Genomic DNA, 20,878 nt, shown 5'->3' with positions numbered 1-20,878 from the left:
CTAGTATTTAAGGCTATCACCTGGTGATTCCTTTTTCTATCCTTTAGGCCACAGGAGAAGCTCTTTTGAGGTGTTATCATTACCTCAAGCAGCCCCAAGCTGCTCTTTAGCTAAGATGTCAGAAATTAGATAAAACACTTGTGCTTATTGCCATTGGCCAAAATGGCTTCCTAAAGTTGTCAAAAAGCATCAAAGTCAGACCCAGGGAACGTGTATACATGTTAACACTTACATTCAATAGTGGTGATGTTCTCTGTAAAGTCAGGTTAAGTCCTTTAGCTGCAATTTTGAGCTAACATAGGAAAACAAAGAAACAGTCTAGTGGCTGACACAGGCAGACACTTCCTAGTCTCTATACTGTCCAAATACACAATGCACTCCCTTGCATAACACCTCTCAAGACACAGAGAAATGCACAATCACTGTTTCCCTTCACTGTCCAACCCCACAAGGTGAGAATCACTACCATACATGATCAAATACTGTGGTTAAACAACAACACAACACAAACACATCTACTAAAGATCTGCTTCCTATGACATTTTGGGTGACCACTATAGGTAATTTTATTGAAACTCATTTATTGTCTCCCTGTGCTCACATGACAGATAACATATAAGTTTCTATTTTTTTTAGTAAGATCATATGAAATTAATATATTTTAAAATATCATTGGGCTGAAAATATATGAACAATGAAATATCAAAATGAGTGGACTGTGGATCCTAAGTGTGTGAACTCTGGGAAACTGGAACATTAAGTAATATTTATTTGTGGGTGAATGTGGTTTCTAATCTTAAATCTATTTCAGTTTGTTCCACACTACAGAACATTGGAAAATACTACCTGAATATAGTCTGTGCTTTTAGCAGCCCTGAAAATAAAAACTTCTGTTTTTTGTTAGTATAATCTGGCCTCTTCTTTTATTAAAGGTCAAAAGTTATAGAGACTTTGCCAACTAAGAGGTAGTTACTTATTTTTGCCAAAGAAAAAAGTTCTACAGATATTTTCAGACATTTGAGCCAGTGGGGTTTAAAAAAAGTCTTGTCCTTAATTGCTTGTGCATTGGTAGATCCTTGTTTCATCAAAATTTGTTTGCAAGATCTTTTAATACTCATCCATTCATTCAACAACTATTTATGCAGCTCCCATTGTACAGCAGGCACTATGCTAGGTGTTGGGATTCAGTGGTGAGCGGAAAAAGGCCAAGGGTCCTCAAATTGTGGTTCCTACAATTTGGTGGAGGAAGATATAGAATTATTAAATAATCAGACAAATTAATGAGAACTTACAACTCCATTAAGTGCTCTAAATTAGAGAACCTGGTGCTATAAGACCATCTAAAAGGGGATCTGACCGAGGTAAGGAGGTCAGGGAAGCTTCCCTAAGGAAGTGGCAATTGCATTGATATGTGCATGAGTAAGAGCTAAAACTGAATTCCATGCAGAGGAACTATTAGGTGCTAAGGTCCTGTGAGGCCAGTGGGCATGGCACCTGCTAGGAAAGTAGGACAGTGTGGCTTAGCAGAAAGAGCTGGGAGAAATGTGGTAGAGTCAAGGTTGGAACAAAAGGAGGGGTCAAGCCATGCAGGTGTTAGGCCATATTAGAGATACTGTCTTTATCCTAATTGTTTGCAAAACCTGTCAAGGTGTTTATAAGCAACTGGAGACAAGATCAGATTTGTCTTGAAGGGATCCCTAGAGTTAAAAGGCAGGAACACATTGGTGTGGGAGAGGGGGAAGAGTGGGTGAGAGGAGATGAGACTATTGCAGTAATCTAGGCATCAGATGGTGGTGTCTTTGATCAGAGTGGTAACAGAGAGTAGGCTGTAGAGAGGTTTGAAGTAAAATAAATGACTTGGTGACAAATAGGATGATATATGGCATGACTCCTGAGTTCCTCTGTTGGTCAAAATCTTTCCAAATTAAGGATTATGCTAGACCTGACACATTTATTCTCCAAAGAAATATTTGTTTCAATGACTCTTTGGATTCATTTATTCAATCAATATTTATGGAGCACCTATTATGTATTATTCTGGCTGCTGTGATACAGTAGACAAGGCAGTCTCTCTAATAGAGCTTGTGTCTGTTGGTGCCAGAAACTCTGGCTAAGGTGAAAATTAGTGCAATCACAATGGAAACAGTAAACTACTGGAGGTCAATTTTTCTTCTGGCAAATCAGAAAAAAAATGTTCTTAGTGCTTTATGATTTCTAAAGTCCCTTACTACTTTATAAAACCAGAAAGGCAGGAAGGTCTAAAATGAAGAGTCAGAGAAGACAATGGGGACACCCAAGGTCACAAAGCTATGAGAAATGATTACTTTGCGTCAGTTCTTCCAACTCTAAAATCAGGGTTCCTCCTCCTTTTTTATTAAGACCATAATCAAGGACATTGAAAAAAACAGCCTGCTGAGGAAGGGGTGCTTTTTAATTAGCCAGTTTGAAAACAGATTCAAGGGCTTCCTCTCTCAAGTGGAAAAAAGCACATTTCTGGATTTAAGTCTAAGAAACGAAAGCGCACTTCTTTTGACTTTATCATTACCTAAAGTAACAGATTCTTTGTTGGCCAAATGAAGGCATGAAAATCAGGAAAATTCTGAGATTTTCTATTGATACATTATGGAAGGGAACAATTTCAGGTATGTATCTTGGAAGCCCATGCTGGTACTTGTGGGGGAGCTTGGAACCAATGGAAAGTAAATAAAGACAGGCATACATTGACCTTATTTGGCTTCTTTCTTCATTTGAGAAGCTTAATTATGTGAATAATTTTTGTGCTTGTCTCCATTACATTTACTTCTCATATTTAGCTGGTACTTAGATACAGAATCCTTTAGATCAGTGTTTCATTAACAAGCTTGATTTTTTTTTAAGATTAGAAAGCATAAATGCAGTGGTTCTAAGGATGTGACTTCCTTAGGTCTGCATAATGCTTATAGGTTTTAAAAAAAGAATTATCTGTCTGCAACTATCATTTCTCAGTTCTGAAGACTGTCAATTCTCACTGGGCAGGCACAAAAACTGAAATGTCTTTTACTATAAAGATGTTTTCCCTTTATCTGCCACATTTCCAGTTATCAAAAATAAAATCACATCTAGACTCCAAGTGTTCAATATTATTTATCAAAATAAATTTATTAAAAGTATTCAAAGACCACTTCAAAGTGTAGCTGCCTTCAAGACAGATTTTTGGCACTCATAACGGACACTGCAGTTTTCAACACCATAGCACTCATTCTATTTCACACATCATTTTTAACAATGCAAACACGGACCATTTCAGTTTTAGCATTACATGAGACAACAGTACTGATGATCTGTGGTCATAAGAACTTCAATACCGTTGCACATAGTAAACACTTCACTGTTACTGAATCCTAAACTAAAACTACTATGTGGTAACATGGATCGATTTAGGGAAAGATGTACAACCAGCTACCTAAGGCCACATAATCCCAGATCTATTGATTTTAAATGCTTTTGGACCAACAGTATTACATTGTCTCTTTCATCATCTTACATTCCTGCTTTTCAGAGTGAGACACCACGTTCAGACCACCTATTCCCTTCTTGCGTTCTGTACACAGTGAGGGAAGCTGTTCTGATACCAGCTTCTCCTAGTCAGTTACTGGCTTCCTGATTCACTACCCAACTTTGAATCAATAGTTCTGAGTGATGTTTCCTGAACACCCAGGCTGAATTCAAGGTCAGTCTTTATGGCAGGTCACAGTCCTTCCCCTCAGGAAAAAGAATGAAATGTCCTCCATTTCTGGGCTCCCTTTTACATTTCATGTAGCATGAGGCTCTGTGGTGATTTGTGGCTTTTTACACAAGTCCTGGTAGAATTCTGACTCCAAGAAACGAGGATAAGAGTTGTTCTCCATCAAGCTGTATACCCTTTTCTGGGCAGTTGTAAAGCAGCCACTTGTAGCTTCTTGTATATTCTGGGCAATCAGAGTTTTGGTTTGAAAATCTATGTTTATCTGAAATAAAACAAAAAAGTTGTTTATTTGGTATTCAGAGTTAAAGATTAAAATTTAGTATTTGAAAACAAAAAATAAAAATTATGTGTGATTAGCTTTACTAGCTAAGTCACAGGAGAACTTTAACATAACTGAAAGCTACAACGTGGAGGGACTTTTTACCCCTCCTAGCCCGCTTTGTCCTTGATTACTTTGTTTCACTTTTGTGCTAAAGATGTCCAGATTGTGCTGAAATTAGGAACTTGTTTCCTTACCTCTTTTGGAGCTTCCTTTTCTATGAAGTCAGTATATATTTTCCTTGCTTTTGAGGACAGCTTTTGGGGTGATTTGGTTTTTTTGAAGTCTTCACAGGCCAGCCAGAATTCAATATTTTCTTCACAGAATTCCGACTTTAAAAAAGCCCTGAATGCAGCAAGACCATCTGAAGGGGGGAGAAAAGAGAGCATGCAGAATGTGAAGAACTGAGAGACCAAATGATTCCTTATGTTTCTCCTATCCCTCACATTTTAATTATTTCTAAATGAATTTTCTAGATTTCGCTCAAACCTGTAATTCTCAAAATTTAGCTTTTTAAAGACTAAGATACCAGTAGGCAAAAGGCTTATGTTGGCACTCTGCTGCAAAAATATAAGTACTTTGCTGTCAATGCAAAGTAAATATTTATAGGGGAGCCATAAATTCTCTGGGAACTAAGCCTCTTGAAAACATTGTATGCAATGGAAAAACTGACTCAACCTTAACTATAAGCAACTGCCACTTTAATTTGTTTAGGCTGATTTTCTTCCCCACCTGGAGAGAATATATGCATTTATTTGTTAAACCCTGGGAAATAAAGGAAAGAAAAACAGGCTTTATCCTATAGTGACTGCAGTCTAATCCCCCTCAGGCAAGCTGCTCTTTTGTTAGGTGGACGCAGCCTTTCCAGGCTTTTGCGATGTTAGCAATGGCTCAAGCTCAAGAGTTAACTTACATTTGCTGGCTAGCAGCTCGTCAAATGCTTCTGACCACAGCTGTGCTTCCTCAGGAGAAGGCCTGCAAGAGAGGTTCTGTATGTTAGCTTACGCACATCAGAGTTCCCCTTTTCAGTTCAGCAGCTAACTATTGATATTTGCAAGCACAGGATTCTCAACTTACTTGATGAAAGCTTGCTGTTTGCTTTTTTTGCCGGTTTTGGGCTTCCCAGGAGTAGAGGAATTTTGTAAGAAGTAGCTCAAACGGGTCTTCCAATCTTTTAAACTAAAACAAAAAATTAAAAAGATAATTACTAACTAGCAACACTTGAATATGCTACTGCAGCTGAACGCATTTTTACCAAATAAAGTCACCCAGTAACTAGAGACAAACCGCATAAGGCAAAGCAAGAACTCTTCAAATAAGTCTTATCCACCTAACATTTAAACCTCATGTACTGAGCAGTTTCGTCCATTAATCTGACCGTATCTACTAGTTTTACAACTAAGGGCAGGGCTACCTATAATCACTAGGGTATTTTAAAGAATTGTTAATGAATTTAGTTCAAAAGGCAGACACTATTTCTGGCTCACAAAGGGCATCAGTTTGTTTGCAAGGTTAATTACAATTCCGAGACGTTTTGCACTTTAATGAAAAGGACAGACATGGAACTGTCTGGAGCCGGCCCACGCTTCTCTCTTTAGAGCAGGAGGTTCTGGACCACGCCAGAGACTGTACAAAGAGGTGGGTGACTGATTCCCCTGCGCTCTTCCTTCCCCACCTACGACACTTCTTTTAAGCAGACGCTGCATAACAATTATTTGTTCCACATTCGGACTGGGTGAGATCTGCTCTATAATTAAAAAACAAAAATGGATTTTAAACGAGTATATTCAGAACCAGCAAGAGCATCACCTTCCAGTAGCTGTGTAAGCTGATGAGAACTCATCATGCAACGTATGAATGCTGGGGACGCGCTTCAGCCGCAGGATTCTGATGTCATTTTGAATGCAGGAGGACAAAAAGCCAACCCGCAATTTCTTAGCGCATCAACCACCGCCCTCATATCAACTGTCTCCCTCGGTTCTTAAACTGTACCCGAGCATCACCCAGATTTAACCTTACTTAACAAATTGACCTTTTCGATTTTTTTTCCCTGCATAGGCTCAGGCTAGTTTCCTAACGTCAAAGGCGAGCCCGAAAGTACCGCGTTTGCAGCTTGCAGTGTGGGGCAGGGGGTGGCGGGAGAGGGAAGAAAGCCATACTCACAGGGTCCGTTTCATCTTTTCTCGCTTCTCCTCGCTCTTGTGGCCACTGCCTGCGCTCTTGTCCATGGGTCTGCAGTCGTGTTGAACAGCCAAGAACATAGCACTTTGCATTATCGTTCTCCCGCTGGAGCCCCGGCTGTTTGCGGCTGGGCGTGCGTCGCAGCATTTATGAGGCCTCGGCTTGGGGGCGGGGCCTCGCGGCTCCGGCCCCGCCTCAAGAGGACGCGGATTGGTCGGCTGCAGACTGGCACGGGGATGGGTCAGCGCCCGCCGGCGGCAGTCACGGCTGCTGCCGAAGGGTCTCGAAGCCGGGGCGCTGCTGACGTCTGCGGCCCCGGCTTCTTGCGCACTCGGGCCACATAGCAGCGGCCAGCTGGGGCAGGTGTGGGAGCAGATGGAGAGTCTTCAGTGTGGGCCGCTGCGCACGACCTTTTGCTGAAGCGTGGCGGCCGGGCGGGCTCGAGGGCTTTGCGACGGAGGGAGGGAGCCGAAGTTGGCGGCGGCCCGGCGGGGGCGCCGGCGCTCCCTCACCCACCCTGACGGGCTCCCCAGCCCGAGGCCAGAGCGGCGATTCCCTGGCAGGAGGAGGTCGCCCGCCACGAGGCCGGAGTGCAGTGGCCTGATTTCGAATGAAGAGTGGGATTTTTCTTCCTTTTTTGAGCGCGTTCCCTGACCCCGCGCCTCATTTCTTGTTTGCTGTCCTGCTGTAGGACTCATTCGACACCCCCTGGTCTGTGAACTGAGGCAATGGGGAGACCCTCGCCCGTTTCTCTCTGCCACTTAACTTAAGGAAGGAGTAACCTGAAACGTTGATTGCCCAGGGGCAGGGTGGGATCTGCTCTGCAGCTTGCTGGGGCGTCTTGGAACACTTTGAGAATGAACATTAGGGATTGAACAAGAGAAAGTGACTTTATCAGAAGACAGTGCTTTAATTGGGTTTGCATTTTTGATCACTACTAGGCACGTGGCTGGGTCTGTCTATAGGGTCATTCCTCAGGAGTCCTTGGTCACATCTCCTGCCAAAATAGAAATCACAGATTTCCTTATGGTGGGAGAGAAAGCTGCAGACATAGAGATTTCATAGCTGTAATGCACCAGAATCAGTGAGTTCAAGGAGTCAGGATTTCCTCATGAGTCATTCTTGTTGAGTTAGGATTTACCAGAACATTTAATAACTGGCAAAAAGTAGGGGGGAGAATGAGTTAACAGTTTCCTTGATTAAGTTTTATTTGTTAATTCTTCAAGTATCATCTCTACTCCTGAAGGTTTTAAAACGACTTGATTGGTAAAGACAAATAGATTACCTCAACCACAAAATGAGTTGATTTCGGATAATATTACCAGAACTAGCCAGTGAAATGTTTAAGCGGCTTTGCAACCAAGCTGCAGATATTCTCTCTACTTTGTATTCGACTTCTTAAAAGGAAATTGGAAATAATTAATATATTCTTACGGTGAGCTGCCAGTAGTTGGAGCTCCAAGTTTGACTTGGAGGGCAAAACCTGCAGTTATTATTTAAGACAACAGTTGTGGACTTTATTGTGGAAAGGAAAATCGTGTAGATTTCAGTAATAGATACTTTGAAACATGCTTGTTAACTCTAGGAATGCCATTTTTTCTTAAGCATATGCTCTTCCTCTCCTATGCTTTGCATAATAGTCCTACATCTATTTTCACTTTCTGATGACTCAATACGTATTTATCAGCTGTCTGTAATACGCAGACACTTGCTTTTTCTCACCACTGTAAACCTCAATATATTTTATACTTAGAACCTTAGATGTTAGAATTTACTCATAGACAGTTAAATTCGCTGGCAGGCCAGGAGTTCTGACAAAGAGGCAGCAGAGAGAGAGAGCTGGACTTCTGTCAGGAGACCCAGTTAGAGCCTGGGCTTATCCAGTAAATGCTAAGTAACTGTTGGGACACTAGCTTCACACCTCTTTGAGTCCCAGTTTCTCATCTGTAATAAGAGTAACATGTATTTTCTTGCCAGCCTCATAGGATATTATGTGACTCTTACATGAAAGGTCTTTTCTAAGCTCTAAAGTACTGTACGGAAGTTTATTACTGATTTGCATATGTGTGGCAAAAGGAAATGTTCAAATCATAGCTGTTCAAGATGGAAAAAATCGTACGAGGATTAACTCAGACGTAATTAGGTTATAAATATGTAGGTACTATTAAATATCAAGATGTTTCAATTTGTAGGTACACAAATACACAAGATACACAAATTTGTAGAAGATTAAGCTCATTATAGATATTTAATAAATGCTCACTGGATAATACGTAGGAAAAATAAGGAAACTGATTAACATTTAAACTTTTCAGGCTGGGTATTGTGGTTCATGCTGGAAATCCCAGCACTTTGGGAGGCTGAGGCAGGTGGAAGGCTTGAGCTCAGAAGTTCGAGGTTCAAGCATTCAAGTTACAGTGAGCTATGATTGTGCCATTGCACTCCAACCTGAGTGATAGAGTGAGACCCTGTCTCTTAAAATAATAATAATAATTAATTACACTTTTCAGATATCTCCAAGCCAAGGAAGTTTAATCATCTCAATATATTAATGAAAGTGAATATACATGTACCTGCATAAGCAACTGGTTTAAATATAGATTATTCTTGATGTTTTTGTGTTTAATATAATTCTTTGCTTTTTTCATAAACCCTTCCAGATCAGTGACTGATGTTAGGTGGCAGAAAATTAATTTTTCTCTGAAAATTATGTGGTTGGTTAATAAATCTGGATATAAATCAACTTGTAATTTTTGTATCTATATGTAATTTTAAGAGTTAAGGCAGTACCTGCTATAGAAACCTTTTCCTCAAAAACTTGCCATGTTAATGTCTTTTAAAAGACAGGCCAATATATGTATATTTACATATACATGTAATATATGTGACATGAATATATACATCATATATTTCACGCATATATGTAATATGTATTACATGTATATTTACATATGCATTACATATATTTACGTATATATAGGTAAAACAAAAGCTGGAATCTTTGATGACTTCCCTTTTTGTTGTTGCAACTGGCTTTTAGGTAAACAGAATTGCTCCACATAAAGATGACACATATTTTCCATCCTGTGGTAGAGGAAGAAACAATGCAGTGGGTTGTAAAAGTTGCACAACAAAACCTCAGTTTGAGAGTGGCTGATAACCTAACCATACATTTTCTGTGTTGAACCTACCATGCCCTCTACTGGAGAGATTGATTGAACAGATTAGTGGTGGAGGTTTTCCAGATAATTTATGAACTTTCTATATTTTTTTAAAAGTTTATAGAAGAAGGCAAAGAAAAAATACAAGTTTCTTGCATAATGTATCTGAGATTCTTGTATTATATATCTTGCGTGTCTTAAATTATGAAGAGTAAAAATTTCCCCTGTCATACTTCTCCCTTCTGCTCCCACTCTATGCTAACCATTATTAATAAAAGTTATTAATTCCTATTCCTATTAACTAAAAATATTTATATAAAATAACTCACCTACTTAAGCTTTAGAAATGTGAAAGCCATTGGATGCTGTGGCTCACGCTTGTAATCACAGCAGTTTGGAAGGCCAAGGAAGGAGGCTTGCTTGGGCCCAGGAGTTCAAGACCAGCTTTGGCAGCATAGCTAGACCCCGTCTGTACAAAAATATATTAAAAAAAAATTACCTACGCATGGTGGCATGCACCTGTAGCCCCGTCTACTCAGTCAGTTGAAGTGGGAGGATTGCTTGAGCCCAGGGACTTTGAGGCTACAGTGAGCCATGATGGTGCCACGGCCCTCTAGCCTGGGTGACAGAGGGAGACCCTGCCTCTTAAAAAAAAAAAATAAATTAAAAATAAAGAAATAAATAAATAAAAATAGGAAATTTAGGAACCAAGATACTTGCTTTTAAAAACACAAAAGTATCATTCTATGTATTATTCTGTGCTTTGCTTTTTTCAGTTAGTAAGATATTTTAGTTTCCAAATTTCTAAGAGCTGTAAACCTATCGTTTACCTTATGAAATGTTAAATAGGTGGGTTAGTTAAAAAAAAAAAAGGAAAAAATCAGGAAGTTACATGCTATATGGTGATGAGTAATTGGAAAAAATGAAAACTTTTATTACCCTAGTTGTTGAATATATTTAAAGAAGTATAATGCCTGTCTTTAAAAAATTTTTTTGTCCTATTTAGTTGGTGAAATATTCTTTTAACAGAATGAAAATATGACCTCATGAGATTTTGTACTATACTCCTTAACCCCTGATATGATCTGAGATTTAAAAATTATGATTAATTTTTGAGAATGTAATTTTCATACCCAGAAGCTGAGAGAAAATGAGTGTTTTGGTCAGAAATGAATCACAGGTTAAACCTAATACTTGACATGTATTATAGCTAAGTTAATAATTTTACCAATCCTTGTATTGATAATTCCAGTTAGTGTAATTCCATGGTTCTGTCTTAAATTTGTACCAAGTATATGCCAAGTATATGATATGGAGTATGTGATTCTTCCAATGCAGGCAGGTCCTGCTTAAATTTAATAGCCCCCTCTTTACAAAAACATCTAGATGCCCTTCATAAAGCAACAACAGGAGCATCATGAAGTTTTTTTTTTTTTTCCTAAAAAAATACTAATGTATATTGAAATACCTTGGATAGAATGTTGTAGCTATTAGGTCTGTAAGGTAAAGGACTGTAAGTATGAGGTCTGAGTAAGGGAATTGTTGTGTGTTCCTGCTGCTACACTCTTTTTGTGCATGGAATACCAGGGGAGAATAGGTGATATAAATACTTTCTTATAAAATAGGTTACATAGTTGGCATATTGTCTATGAGTTAAAGCTAGGAATTTCTTTTTTGGTGTTTTTTTTGACTGAGATTTTAATTTCTGTCCCTGGAATTTTGCCAAACCATTGGAGTGTCAAGTGTCCTATTGACTACTTTTTTGAAATTTGGGTATATTAAGTTAACAAAATATAAAATTTTAAATATCTATATGATAATAGTCACAAAGTCTTTTTTAAAAGTCTGAAGAAAGCCATTTTTCATCTAGTAAATAAGGAATCCGTTTACATTAGTATTTCTTTTTCACTATACTGATGACTATTCCTGTGTAGAGAGCATTAATCCATTTTAGACATTGGTTTTCACAGGTTTTTATTCGTGGACTACTTCCTAATAACCTAAAACCTTGTGGATTTCTCTCCCAAACACATTTTTGAAACAAAAATTCCAAAATCTCAACAGAATTAATTAAAAAAAATAATGCTTTTAAGAGATGTCTGTAGGCCTTGACACAATTACTATGTGGCACTAGTCCCCTCAAAAGTTCCCAGTTTCAAAAGACAGAATAATTTTGCAGTTCTTTTCATGAAGTACCCTTAGGAGAGTGGGATGGCTAGAGGGGTTGTCCATAATTGGGATATTTGCTTTTTGTTCCTAGTTTCTGCCCTAATTTACTTAGAACTCAGGCATATTGTTTAGCTTTCTTATGCTTAAGCTACTTATCTTTCAGGCACAAGTAGTTATAGCACTCTTCCTTTGTAGGAATTTAAAAGAAAACAATACTGGAAATGTCCTGGACAGCTTGGTAGATGATAGTACATAGTTCTCAGGACTGGCCTTGAGCTAAACTTTGTAGTATGACTAGTTTCTTCTAGGTGACTCTTTTGTCCATTTTTCTGTCTTGCTCCTATGCAGGACCCTCATTCTTTTTGGGGGATCTGTTTGTTTATGAAGTTTCCTGGTGGTCCTCTCAGGCCCTTCCAAATGCTCCTCTGGGCACATCAGCAATGTAAGGTTACTTTTTAATTTAAAGAGTATTTTTGTAGAGCAGATTACAGCACATTTGAGAGGAAGGTACAGAGGTAGCGCATATGTCTTCTGCTCCCATACATACATAACCTCCCCATTACTAATATCCAACAGCTCATAAACTTATATTGACACATCATTACCACCCAGAGTCCATAGTTGACATTAGGGTTTGTTCTTGGTGTTGTACATTCTGTGGGTTTAGACAAATTTATAATGGCATGTATCCACCATTATAACATCATAGTATTTTCACTCTGCCCTAAAAATTCTCTGTGCTCTGCCCATTCCTCCCTCCCTCCCCAATAACCCTATAACCCCTAGCAACCACCAATTTTCTGTTTTCTGTCTCCATAGTTTTGCCTTTTCCAGAGTGTTATAGTTGGAATCATACAATATGTAGCCTTTTCAGATTGGCTTCTTTCATTTAGTAATATGCATTTATGTTTCCTCCATGTCTTTTCAGGGCTTAATAGCTCATTTCTTTTTAGTGCTGAATAATATTCCATTGTCTGGATGTACCACAGTTTATCCACTCACCTACTGAAGGACATCTTGGTTGCTTCCAAGTTTTGACAAATATGAATAATGCTGGTATAAACATTCATGTGCAGGTTTTTGTGTGGGCACAAGTTTTCAACTCCTTTGGGCAGAGATTAAAGGGCATAATTGCTCAATCATAAGCTAAGAGTATGATTAGTTTCATGAGAAACCACCAACCACTTCCAAAGTGACTGTACCATGTTGCATTCCCACCAGCAACAAATGGGAATTCCTGTTGTTGCATATCCTTTTTGGCATTTGCTGTAGTCAGTGTTCTGGATTTTGGCCATTTTAACAGGTGTGTATTGGTATCTCATTGTTGTTTCATTTTGCATTTCTCTAATGACATATGATGTAGAGTATCTTTTCACATGCTTATTTGCCATATGTATTATCTTGGGTGAGATGTCTGGTATTTTTAGTTGGATTGTTTGTTTTCTTATTGTTGAGTTTTAAGAATTCTTTGTATATTTTGGATTACAGGTTTTTTAGAATCAGATACCCCCTTTGCAAGTATCTTCTCCCAATCTGTGGCTTTTCTTTCCACTACACTGATGTTGTCTTTTGCAGAACAGAGATTTTTTAAAAAAAATTTTAATGAAGTCCAGTTTATCAATTCTTTCTTTCATGGACTGGATCTTGATGTGATATTCATTTTCATATCCAAGGTCATCTAGATTTTCTCCTTGGCGATTCTCTTCTAGGAATTTATAGTTTTGCATTTTACATTTAGGCTGGTGATCCATTTTGAGTTATTTTTCTGAATGAAGTTACTTTCCCAAATATTTATGTTCTTCCTCAAAAATGTTTTGGAAATGTACAGCTCTTTACGTGTTAATCTTTTAATCTTTTTTAGTAGGCTTCTTCACTATCTTTACAGAGTGAATTATCTCCACGTTAGATATTTGGTGAAAACATTTCTTTTCTCAGTGCACTGTAGGAAGGACTTAAAGTTGCCACTGGAGCTTTTGTCTCTCCCTCTCTGACTGCATTTCCCCCCATTTCTGATTGTAGTGAAGATTTCTTACTTGGAGACTTATAATTTTTCAGTGCGTCAACTATTTTATCTCCTTCAGTTAATTTACAGTGAACATCTGGTTAAGAGTTTCTAAAATAAATTTGAAAACAAGCCCAGCTGAAGCCAGGATAGCCACTTGGCCTAGCCCAGCCTAGATGAGCTGTATTTAACTACACAACATTAGTCATATTTTTTCAGAATTCTTTTGGATTTATTTTTACAAGTACCCATACTCTGATGCATCCATTATATCTAATTTCAGGATTCCACTGTTCGTGTTTTCTTCTTCATCAACAGCAGGCTGATCTGTCATCTTTAGCAAATGGTGGATCTGACTTTATCATTTAAAACTTATTCCATATGCACTACTTTTTTTAAACTTTATTTTCCTGATTACTAAGTTTGCTCATCTTTCTATCCACTCTTTAGCTTCTTTTTTTCCCACTGTTTAATACAAAACATCTTATTTTAAAAACAAATGATCAATATTTTATTTATTGCATTTTCTTAAGAAAATCCAGAAAAGGGATCACTTCATATTTCCATAATAGTACAACATTGCATATTAAAAAAACTGTTTTGAACACAGCTGAACTTTCAGATAAATTGACTTTCACTTGGTTTGCAGGATTCAACATTTCTCAGATGTTAATACAGATAGAAAGTGGCAGATAGAACTTTTCAAATTGCTTATGTTTGTTCCAGCTGGTTGCACTGATGAACTCACAGGCTGTATTCATCACTGCTTGCATCTGTGTTCTTCAGAGCCAATAAGTGTTTTTCCACCCCAGACCATCATCATAACACACCATCCAGATGATTAAATATAGAACATGCCTATACAAAATATCATACTGATCTGATGTTGATACTTGTATTATATTTGGAAACTCCCATTATAAATTTTTCCTCCAGAGGAACAAGAGGCAACTTTTCATCTTGCTGGGCAACATCTATATAATTTATCAGGTCTAGTGGCCCTTTAAGACATCTTCTCTCAGAGAGTTTCAGTGTCTTAATGGCACCAACATATTTTATTTGAAATTCTGCACACGTATTTGAATTATTGTTGCTTTATTCTGAGCTCTTGGTGGAATCTGTATTGAGGCTGGCCGCAGGGCTGGACTATGAAAGGCCCCCAAGGCTAGAATCTACAGACTTGCTCTTAGTACTGATTTCACCACTTTGGGAACTGCTACTACGGTGTCTGTTTTTTTTTTTTTTTCCTTTCCAAAACATTTTTCACCATAGCTTCATCTAGAGAATATCACCATAGAATCAAATATTATTTTATTATCTTCAAAGGTTCTAAAGACAGGTCTGCACAGATAGCTTCCTTTCATTCTAACGCAGTCAGTTCTTTTTATGGAAACAATGTACATCAACGCCAAGCATAGGCAGAGGGCCGCCTATGCTGCTGTTAGAGTCAGAGCACTCCAAACCTCCTTAGTTTCTTGTGAAGACAGTTTTATACTTCTCATAATATAGGAATTTTCATCTGAAGCATCTCCTCAGTGCTGTCTGAAGTTGTTCTTCAGTCTTCTGATATATTTTGAAGGCTGTTTGCTTGTAGCTACTTGAAATTCAATGTGTCTTTAATGCATTGTCTATTATTTTGCTTGATAAATCTTCTGGATATTTCTTGTAATGTCAGGTTCAACTTGTTCTAAATGTTCAGGTCACTCTTTGCTAAGTCCTTTTCTAAAAGAATGTATTCTAAGTCCAAGCAAAGAGTTGGAGATTTTCAGCTCTTTTTTAATGCCTTCCAGTTTTTCCATTTCCGATAGTTTGTTTTTGAGCATGGATTCCATTAAAGTTAATTCAAGGCCTTCATGTTATTTTTGAATAAGGTTAAATGTGTAAAAAATTTGAAAGTATTTTCTCTAGAAGAACAGAAATATCAGTGGCTAGTTCTTTGTCTTTACTTGCATAAGATAGGCCTTTAATTATTAAAAATCTGACCATGACTATAAGTAACACCATCTTCCACAGCAATCCATGGGTATCAGGATCTGGTTGAAAGTCCTCTGGCAGGGCTGCCACTGGTGGGCACAGTGTCCCCTAGAACCACTGCAACACTGAGCATCATGGCTATGAACAGACCCTCTGTGATCCCCTAGGCTGTTGTGAGGCACTTCAGTTTGTCAGGTCTCGTGGACCATCATAGAGCACCAGAGAGTATTCTGCCTGGAACCAAATCAGTGCCTGGTAGATTTCAGTGGAGGTGAGAGAGAAAGAATAAATACAGTAAATTACTGGCTAATTCTTCTCCTTCTATTTTTTTTTTTTTTTTTTTTTTTTAGGGACAGGGTCTTGCTATGTTGCCCAGGCTGGAGTGCAATGGCTATTCCCAAGTACCATCATAGCATACTACAACCTCAAACTGGGCTCAAACAATCCTCCCACCTCAGCTTCCTGAGTAACTAGGAGGAGGTTTGCACCCCTGCACCTGGCTTCTCTTTCTCTTAAATAAACTTTTCTTTTTGTGGCCCTGGATCATTTTAGCCACAGAGCACCAAAAACTTCTTATTCTCAGAGCCTCTTCATGTCTGGCTGGCCTTGACTATTCACAGAGAGGGCAGAACACAAGTGGGGAAAAGATTATGGAGGACCCTACAAAGGATTTCAACTTACTTCACCAATTATGCCTTTAAAAACAAAGGAAGAAATGGCCGGGAGCAGTGGCTCATGCCTGTAATCCCAGCACTTTGGGAGGACAAGGCAGGCGGATCATCTGAGGTCAAGAGTTCAAGACCAGCCTGGCCAACATGGTCAAACCCCATCTCTACTAAAAATAAAAAATTAGCCGGGTATAGTGGCATGCACCTGTAGACCCAGTTACTTGGGAGGCTGAGGCAGGAGAATTGTTTGAACGTGGGAGGCAGAGGTTGCAGTGAGCCAAGATCGCACCACTGCATTCCAGCCTGGGCAATAGAGTGAGACTCTGTCTCAAAAAACAAACAAACAAACAAACAAAAAAAAAAGGAAGAAATAAGTTGGAATTTTAAAAAGTTTTCACACCTCCAGACTGTACTGTCCAATTATGAGCCAGGAAAACTCAATTTTTTCAAACTCTTTTTGCATGTGGTGAAATGTTTGATGATGCAGAAGCCCTTCAAGATATTTCTTTTCAGAATGATCATCTTTGAGGGTATTAGATGCTGATGCAGCTTTCCTCACAGGGGCTGATCCCTAGGAAGTGGGGGACCCAGGCTTTGTTCAGCTGAATTTAACAACTCAGTCTTGGCCAGGCTTGGTAACTCACACCTGTAATCCCAGTACTTTGGAAGGCCAAGGTGGGAGGCTTGCTTGAGCCCAGGAGTTCTAGATCAGGCTGGGCAACATAGCGAGACACTGTCTCTACAAAGAAACAAACAAACAAATGAAAATTAGCTGGGCACAGTGATGTTTTCCCATTGTACTAGCTATTCTGAGGCTGAGATGGAAGGATCGCTTGAGCCCAGGGGTTTGAGACCTCAGTGAACTATGATTGTGTCACTGCACTTTAGCCTGGGCAACAGAGTGAGAACCTTTCTCTAAAAATCACTTTATCAGGCCATTCTTGCATTGCTATAAATAATTACCTGAGACTAGGGTAATTTATAAGAGGTTTAATTGGCTCATGGTTCTGCAGGCCGTACAGGAAGCATAGTACTGCGACTGCTTATGGTGATGTCTTGGGAGCTTTTACTTATAGCAGAAGGCAAAGTGGGAGCTTGCACGTCACGCGGTCAAAACAGGAACAAGAGGGAGAGGGAGGGAGGGGAGGTTCCACACATTTTTAAACGATTGGATCTTCTAAGAACTAAGTCACTATGGTGAGGACAGCACCAAGCCATGAGAGATCTGCCCCCATGATCGAAATACCTTCCACCAGGCCCTACCTCCAACACTGGGGATTATATTTCAATAGGAGATTTGGAGGGCACATCCAAGCTATATCACACACACCATCTCATTGACAACAAATTGGTAGGAATTTTTAAAATTCCATTTATTTCTACCTTCTTCTTCTTTTTTTTTTTTTCTTGGAGACAGCATCTGGCTCTGTCACCCAGGCTGGAGTGCAGTGGCACGTTCATGGCTCACTTCAGCCTCAACTTCCTATGGTCAGGTGATCCTCCCTCCTCAGCCTCCTGAGCAGCTGTGACCATAGGTGTAAGCCTCCACGCCTGGCTAAATTTTTTGAGTTTTAGTAGAGACAAGGTCTTGCTATGTCACCTAGGCTAGTCTTGAACTCCTGAGCTCAAGGGTCCTCCTGCCTCAGTCTCCCAAAGTGCTGGGATTACAGATGTGAGCCACTGTGCCCAGCTCTTCCTTCATTTTAAAAGGTGAAATTGGTGAAGTAAGTTGCAACTCTTTGTGGGGCCCACTGGTTTTGGCAAGGCCAGGCTGGGCTGGGCTGTATGGCTCTGCAGGTCTGGCTGAGCTCCCTCATGTGTGCTGAGGTCAGCTGATATGGGCAAGTGCAGCTCCAGCCTTGGCTCTGGCCCACATATTTCTTACCCTTGTCTTATAACCTGTGTTATAAGCCTGGTCTTTTCTGCCCATGGTAACGGCAGATGCACCAGAGAGTCACTGGGGAGCAGTTATCCAATCTACATTTTCAAAAGTTCACCCTGACTGTGAGATGTCAAAGTCTCATTTGATTGCCTTTTCATGAAGTCATGATCCTCAGGGGGCCTGTAGGTTTTCTGAAAGTAGGATATAGAACAGGAGCTGATATAGTCACCAATTTCTTCTGTTTATATGGCTCACTTCAGCAGCCACTGTCAAGAAAAGCTGGGATACTTGAGCTGACAGAGATGAGATCACAATAAACGCCAACCCAGAGATGGCTACACATGTATTCTGAAATGACTGCACTCTGTTGACCAGGTTAGGAGTGACCCTCCACAGCACATACTGTCCTATGGGCAAAGCCACAACTTAGGTGTCCAAGATGCTGATGCAGCAAGGCCTAGTGCTGAATAACTGCAGGATTCCAGGGAACTCTTTATAGCTATAGGCCTCAGTTTCTTCTTTAAAGAGGAGGAAATGTGTGAATAGAATCCATATCCTGAATCAGTGGGGTTCAAGCTGGTGTGAATACTTCATCTTTGGAAGGGCTGAGATACTTTTTCTAGTATGTTTTATTTTATTTTTATTGATTGTAGAGTTTTCCTGAAAGAATAAATCAACACTGATGTCAAGATAGCAAGGAATGGTGGACCAAGTCTTTCCAAAACCTATTACCTTGCCAAAAGCTGATAAGCCATTACGTCTTGTCCTGAAATACCAGCAGCAATTAAGAGCTCCAGAATTTCAGCCAACATGACATTTTGTTTTTTATTTTCTCATTTCCATATCTGAGGTGGACAGCTCCTGGCTGTCCTGCCTCTTGGGGAACACCATGATTCCTTCCTGGGCTGGCAGATGACTGATAAAACATAAAGAGTGTCTGGAGGAAGTTGTCTATGCTTTGTGAAGCCCCTTTTTAATTTATTTACTTTTTCTTATTTTTTCATTTTTTAATAACTTGTTTTTCCCACATGACTTCTATCCTTCTGATCCCCCCTTTTTTAAAAAAAAATAAATATTAGGGTTTCTTTTTGCCATGTAGCATATAAATAGACCTCCTTAATAGACTGCTCTTTGATTTGAAAGAGAGAAGCAGTCAAGAACACAGGTTCATGAAAATAAGGAAGTGTGTTTGTGAGTATATGTGTTTTGGGGGAGGGTAGAGAAGAGGATAAGTGATGATGGTTATGAGAATTTAAAGGCTTAGCAGAGCTGTGAGTTTAAGGTGGTCAGGAAAATTTTCTCCATAGGTTTCTTATGTCTAAGCCAGGAAATGTTTCTAGAAATTTCTTTCTATTTGGGAAGAGGTTGTCTCCCTTCAATCTTCCCCAAAAAAAAAAAAAAAAAAAAAAAAAAAAAAAAAAAAAAAAAAAAAAAAAAAAGAAGGTAGAAATAAGTGGAATTTTTAAAATTCCTACAATTTGTTGTCAATGAGACGGTGTGTGTGATAGTTTGGATGTGCCCTCCAAATCTCATGTTGAGATATAATCTTATTTGTCGCTCAACTGTTGAAGTTCCTTAGATGTCTTCTCTTTTTGTTCTGCAGATTTACTATCCACTCCCATAAATTCAGGTGTGATCTGTATACTGACGAATCCTTGTGCTGATCTCTGCTCATCTCAGACCCTTACAGCTCACTGTCCTAACTTGATTCACTTAGATGACAAAAAGGCAGTTCAAAAGAAAAACCCCACAGCATTTAGCATTTCCTATCCTTGCCCCTAAATCTGTTTCTTTGCCTTTGTTCTGTGTCTCAGTGAATGGTACCACACCTGAGACAAAAAACGGGAGGGAGAGAGTAGTCACCTTTGAATCCTACCCTCTCCTAATCCCATATTGAATCTATCCTGCTTATTTCTGCCCATTATACAAATTTAAAACTTTGTAAAAAAAAGTTATATTTCTTTTTACAATTTTTTTTTAAATTAAAAAAATATTTTTTGAGACAGAGTCTCCTTCTGTCACCCAGGCTGGAGTGCAGTGGCACAATCACTGCTCACTGCAATCCTGGGCTCAAGCCATCCTCCCACCTTAGCCTGTGGAGTAGCTGGGACTTCAGGTGCATGCCACCACACCTGGCTAATTTAAAAAAAATATTGTTTTAGAGATGGGGTCTCACTATGTTGTCCAGGCTGAATTTTACTCTTAAATATGAACTTCTCCTTCTCTCCACTTCCATTTTCACTTTTCTAATTCTGTCCTTATCTCTGTTATGAATTGAAGCAAGACTTCTAATCTTCATCTTTTTTTTCTAAATTATGTATTTTTCAGTCAGTATGATTTTACTAAAACACTTATCATTGTTCCTTTTCTTCTTAAAACCACTAATGGCTTTTCATTGCCCTTAAGTTCTAAATTCCTTAATTTGAATTACAAAAGTCTTTATATCTGGCCCCTGAATGCCTTCCCAGCCTTATCTTTTAGTGCCTCTGCCTTGATCTCTATGCTATTATCCTATTAAATTGTTTTAGTTCCTTCTACATGCCATGCTTCCTGTTCCTCTGTCTTGGACCTTTTTCTTATTCATCCCATTCTTCATCTGACTAACTTCTATATTATTCATACTCCTTCAGGTATTGCTTAAATAAACTTTCTCTCCTGGAGACTTTTCCTCCCTCCACTAACACATCTGAGTGAGATGCCTCTCCTACATGTTCTCACAGCACCTATCAATTCTCACAGCACCTATCAATTTATTTACCGTAATGAATTGCAATTGCCTAGTGTCTTGTCAGTACCTC

The 20,878-nt window shown here is 39.1% G+C and overlaps 1 protein-coding gene and 1 pseudogene across 1 annotated transcript, besides 4 other annotated features; both read right to left on the bottom strand.

The window, feature by feature from the left end:
• RGS2 (regulator of G protein signaling 2) lies at positions 3,113-6,349 on the bottom strand. Its single transcript, NM_002923.4, has 5 exons — positions 6,207-6,349; positions 5,121-5,222; positions 4,957-5,018; positions 4,241-4,407; positions 3,113-3,986 (listed from the first exon to the last, which is right to left on the bottom strand). Exons 1-5 carry the CDS (start codon positions 6,314-6,316, stop codon positions 3,792-3,794), a joined length of 636 nt encoding a protein of 211 aa, NP_002914.1. The 5' UTR covers positions 6,317-6,349; the 3' UTR covers positions 3,113-3,791.
• Positions 5,096-5,155: a silencer, noted in NCBI's record as "silent region_1654". NCBI's record gives its function as "represses an Ori minimal core promoter by ATAC-STARR-seq in GM12878 lymphoblastoid cells {active_cell/tissue: GM12878}" and the evidence as "EXISTENCE:reporter gene assay evidence [ECO:0000049][PMID:35858748]".
• Positions 6,113-6,332: an enhancer, noted in NCBI's record as "active region_2264". NCBI's record gives its function as "activates an Ori minimal core promoter by ATAC-STARR-seq in GM12878 lymphoblastoid cells {active_cell/tissue: GM12878}" and the evidence as "EXISTENCE:reporter gene assay evidence [ECO:0000049][PMID:35858748]".
• Positions 6,663-6,872: a silencer, noted in NCBI's record as "silent region_1653". NCBI's record gives its function as "represses an Ori minimal core promoter by ATAC-STARR-seq in GM12878 lymphoblastoid cells {active_cell/tissue: GM12878}" and the evidence as "EXISTENCE:reporter gene assay evidence [ECO:0000049][PMID:35858748]".
• Positions 7,809-7,898: a silencer, noted in NCBI's record as "silent region_1652". NCBI's record gives its function as "represses an Ori minimal core promoter by ATAC-STARR-seq in GM12878 lymphoblastoid cells {active_cell/tissue: GM12878}" and the evidence as "EXISTENCE:reporter gene assay evidence [ECO:0000049][PMID:35858748]".
• On the bottom strand, positions 14,215-14,816 carry LOC100130137 (integrin subunit beta 1 binding protein 1 pseudogene; annotated as a pseudogene).

Source organism: Homo sapiens, chromosome 1 (assembly GCF_000001405.40).
Source record: "Homo sapiens chromosome 1, GRCh38.p14 Primary Assembly".
Taxonomy (NCBI): domain Eukaryota; kingdom Metazoa; phylum Chordata; class Mammalia; order Primates; family Hominidae; genus Homo; species Homo sapiens.
Note: the sequence above shows the minus strand (reverse complement) of the source record. Positions and strands in the feature narration are given on the sequence as shown.

Bases quoted from the DNA above. Each gene is read 5' to 3' on its own strand.
- RGS2 (NM_002923.4), bottom strand. From the start codon at position 6,316: ATGCAAAGTGCTATGTTCTTGGCTGTTCAACACGACTGCAGACCCATG. The intron at 4,408-4,956 runs GTAAGTTAACTC...TCCCCCCTTCAG, and splicing joins CGAGCTGCTAGCCAGCAAAT to ATGGTCTTGCTGCATTCAGG. The intron at 3,987-4,240 runs GTAAGGAAACAA...GTTTTATTTCAG, and splicing joins AAAAGGAAGCTCCAAAAGAG to ATAAACATAGATTTTCAAAC.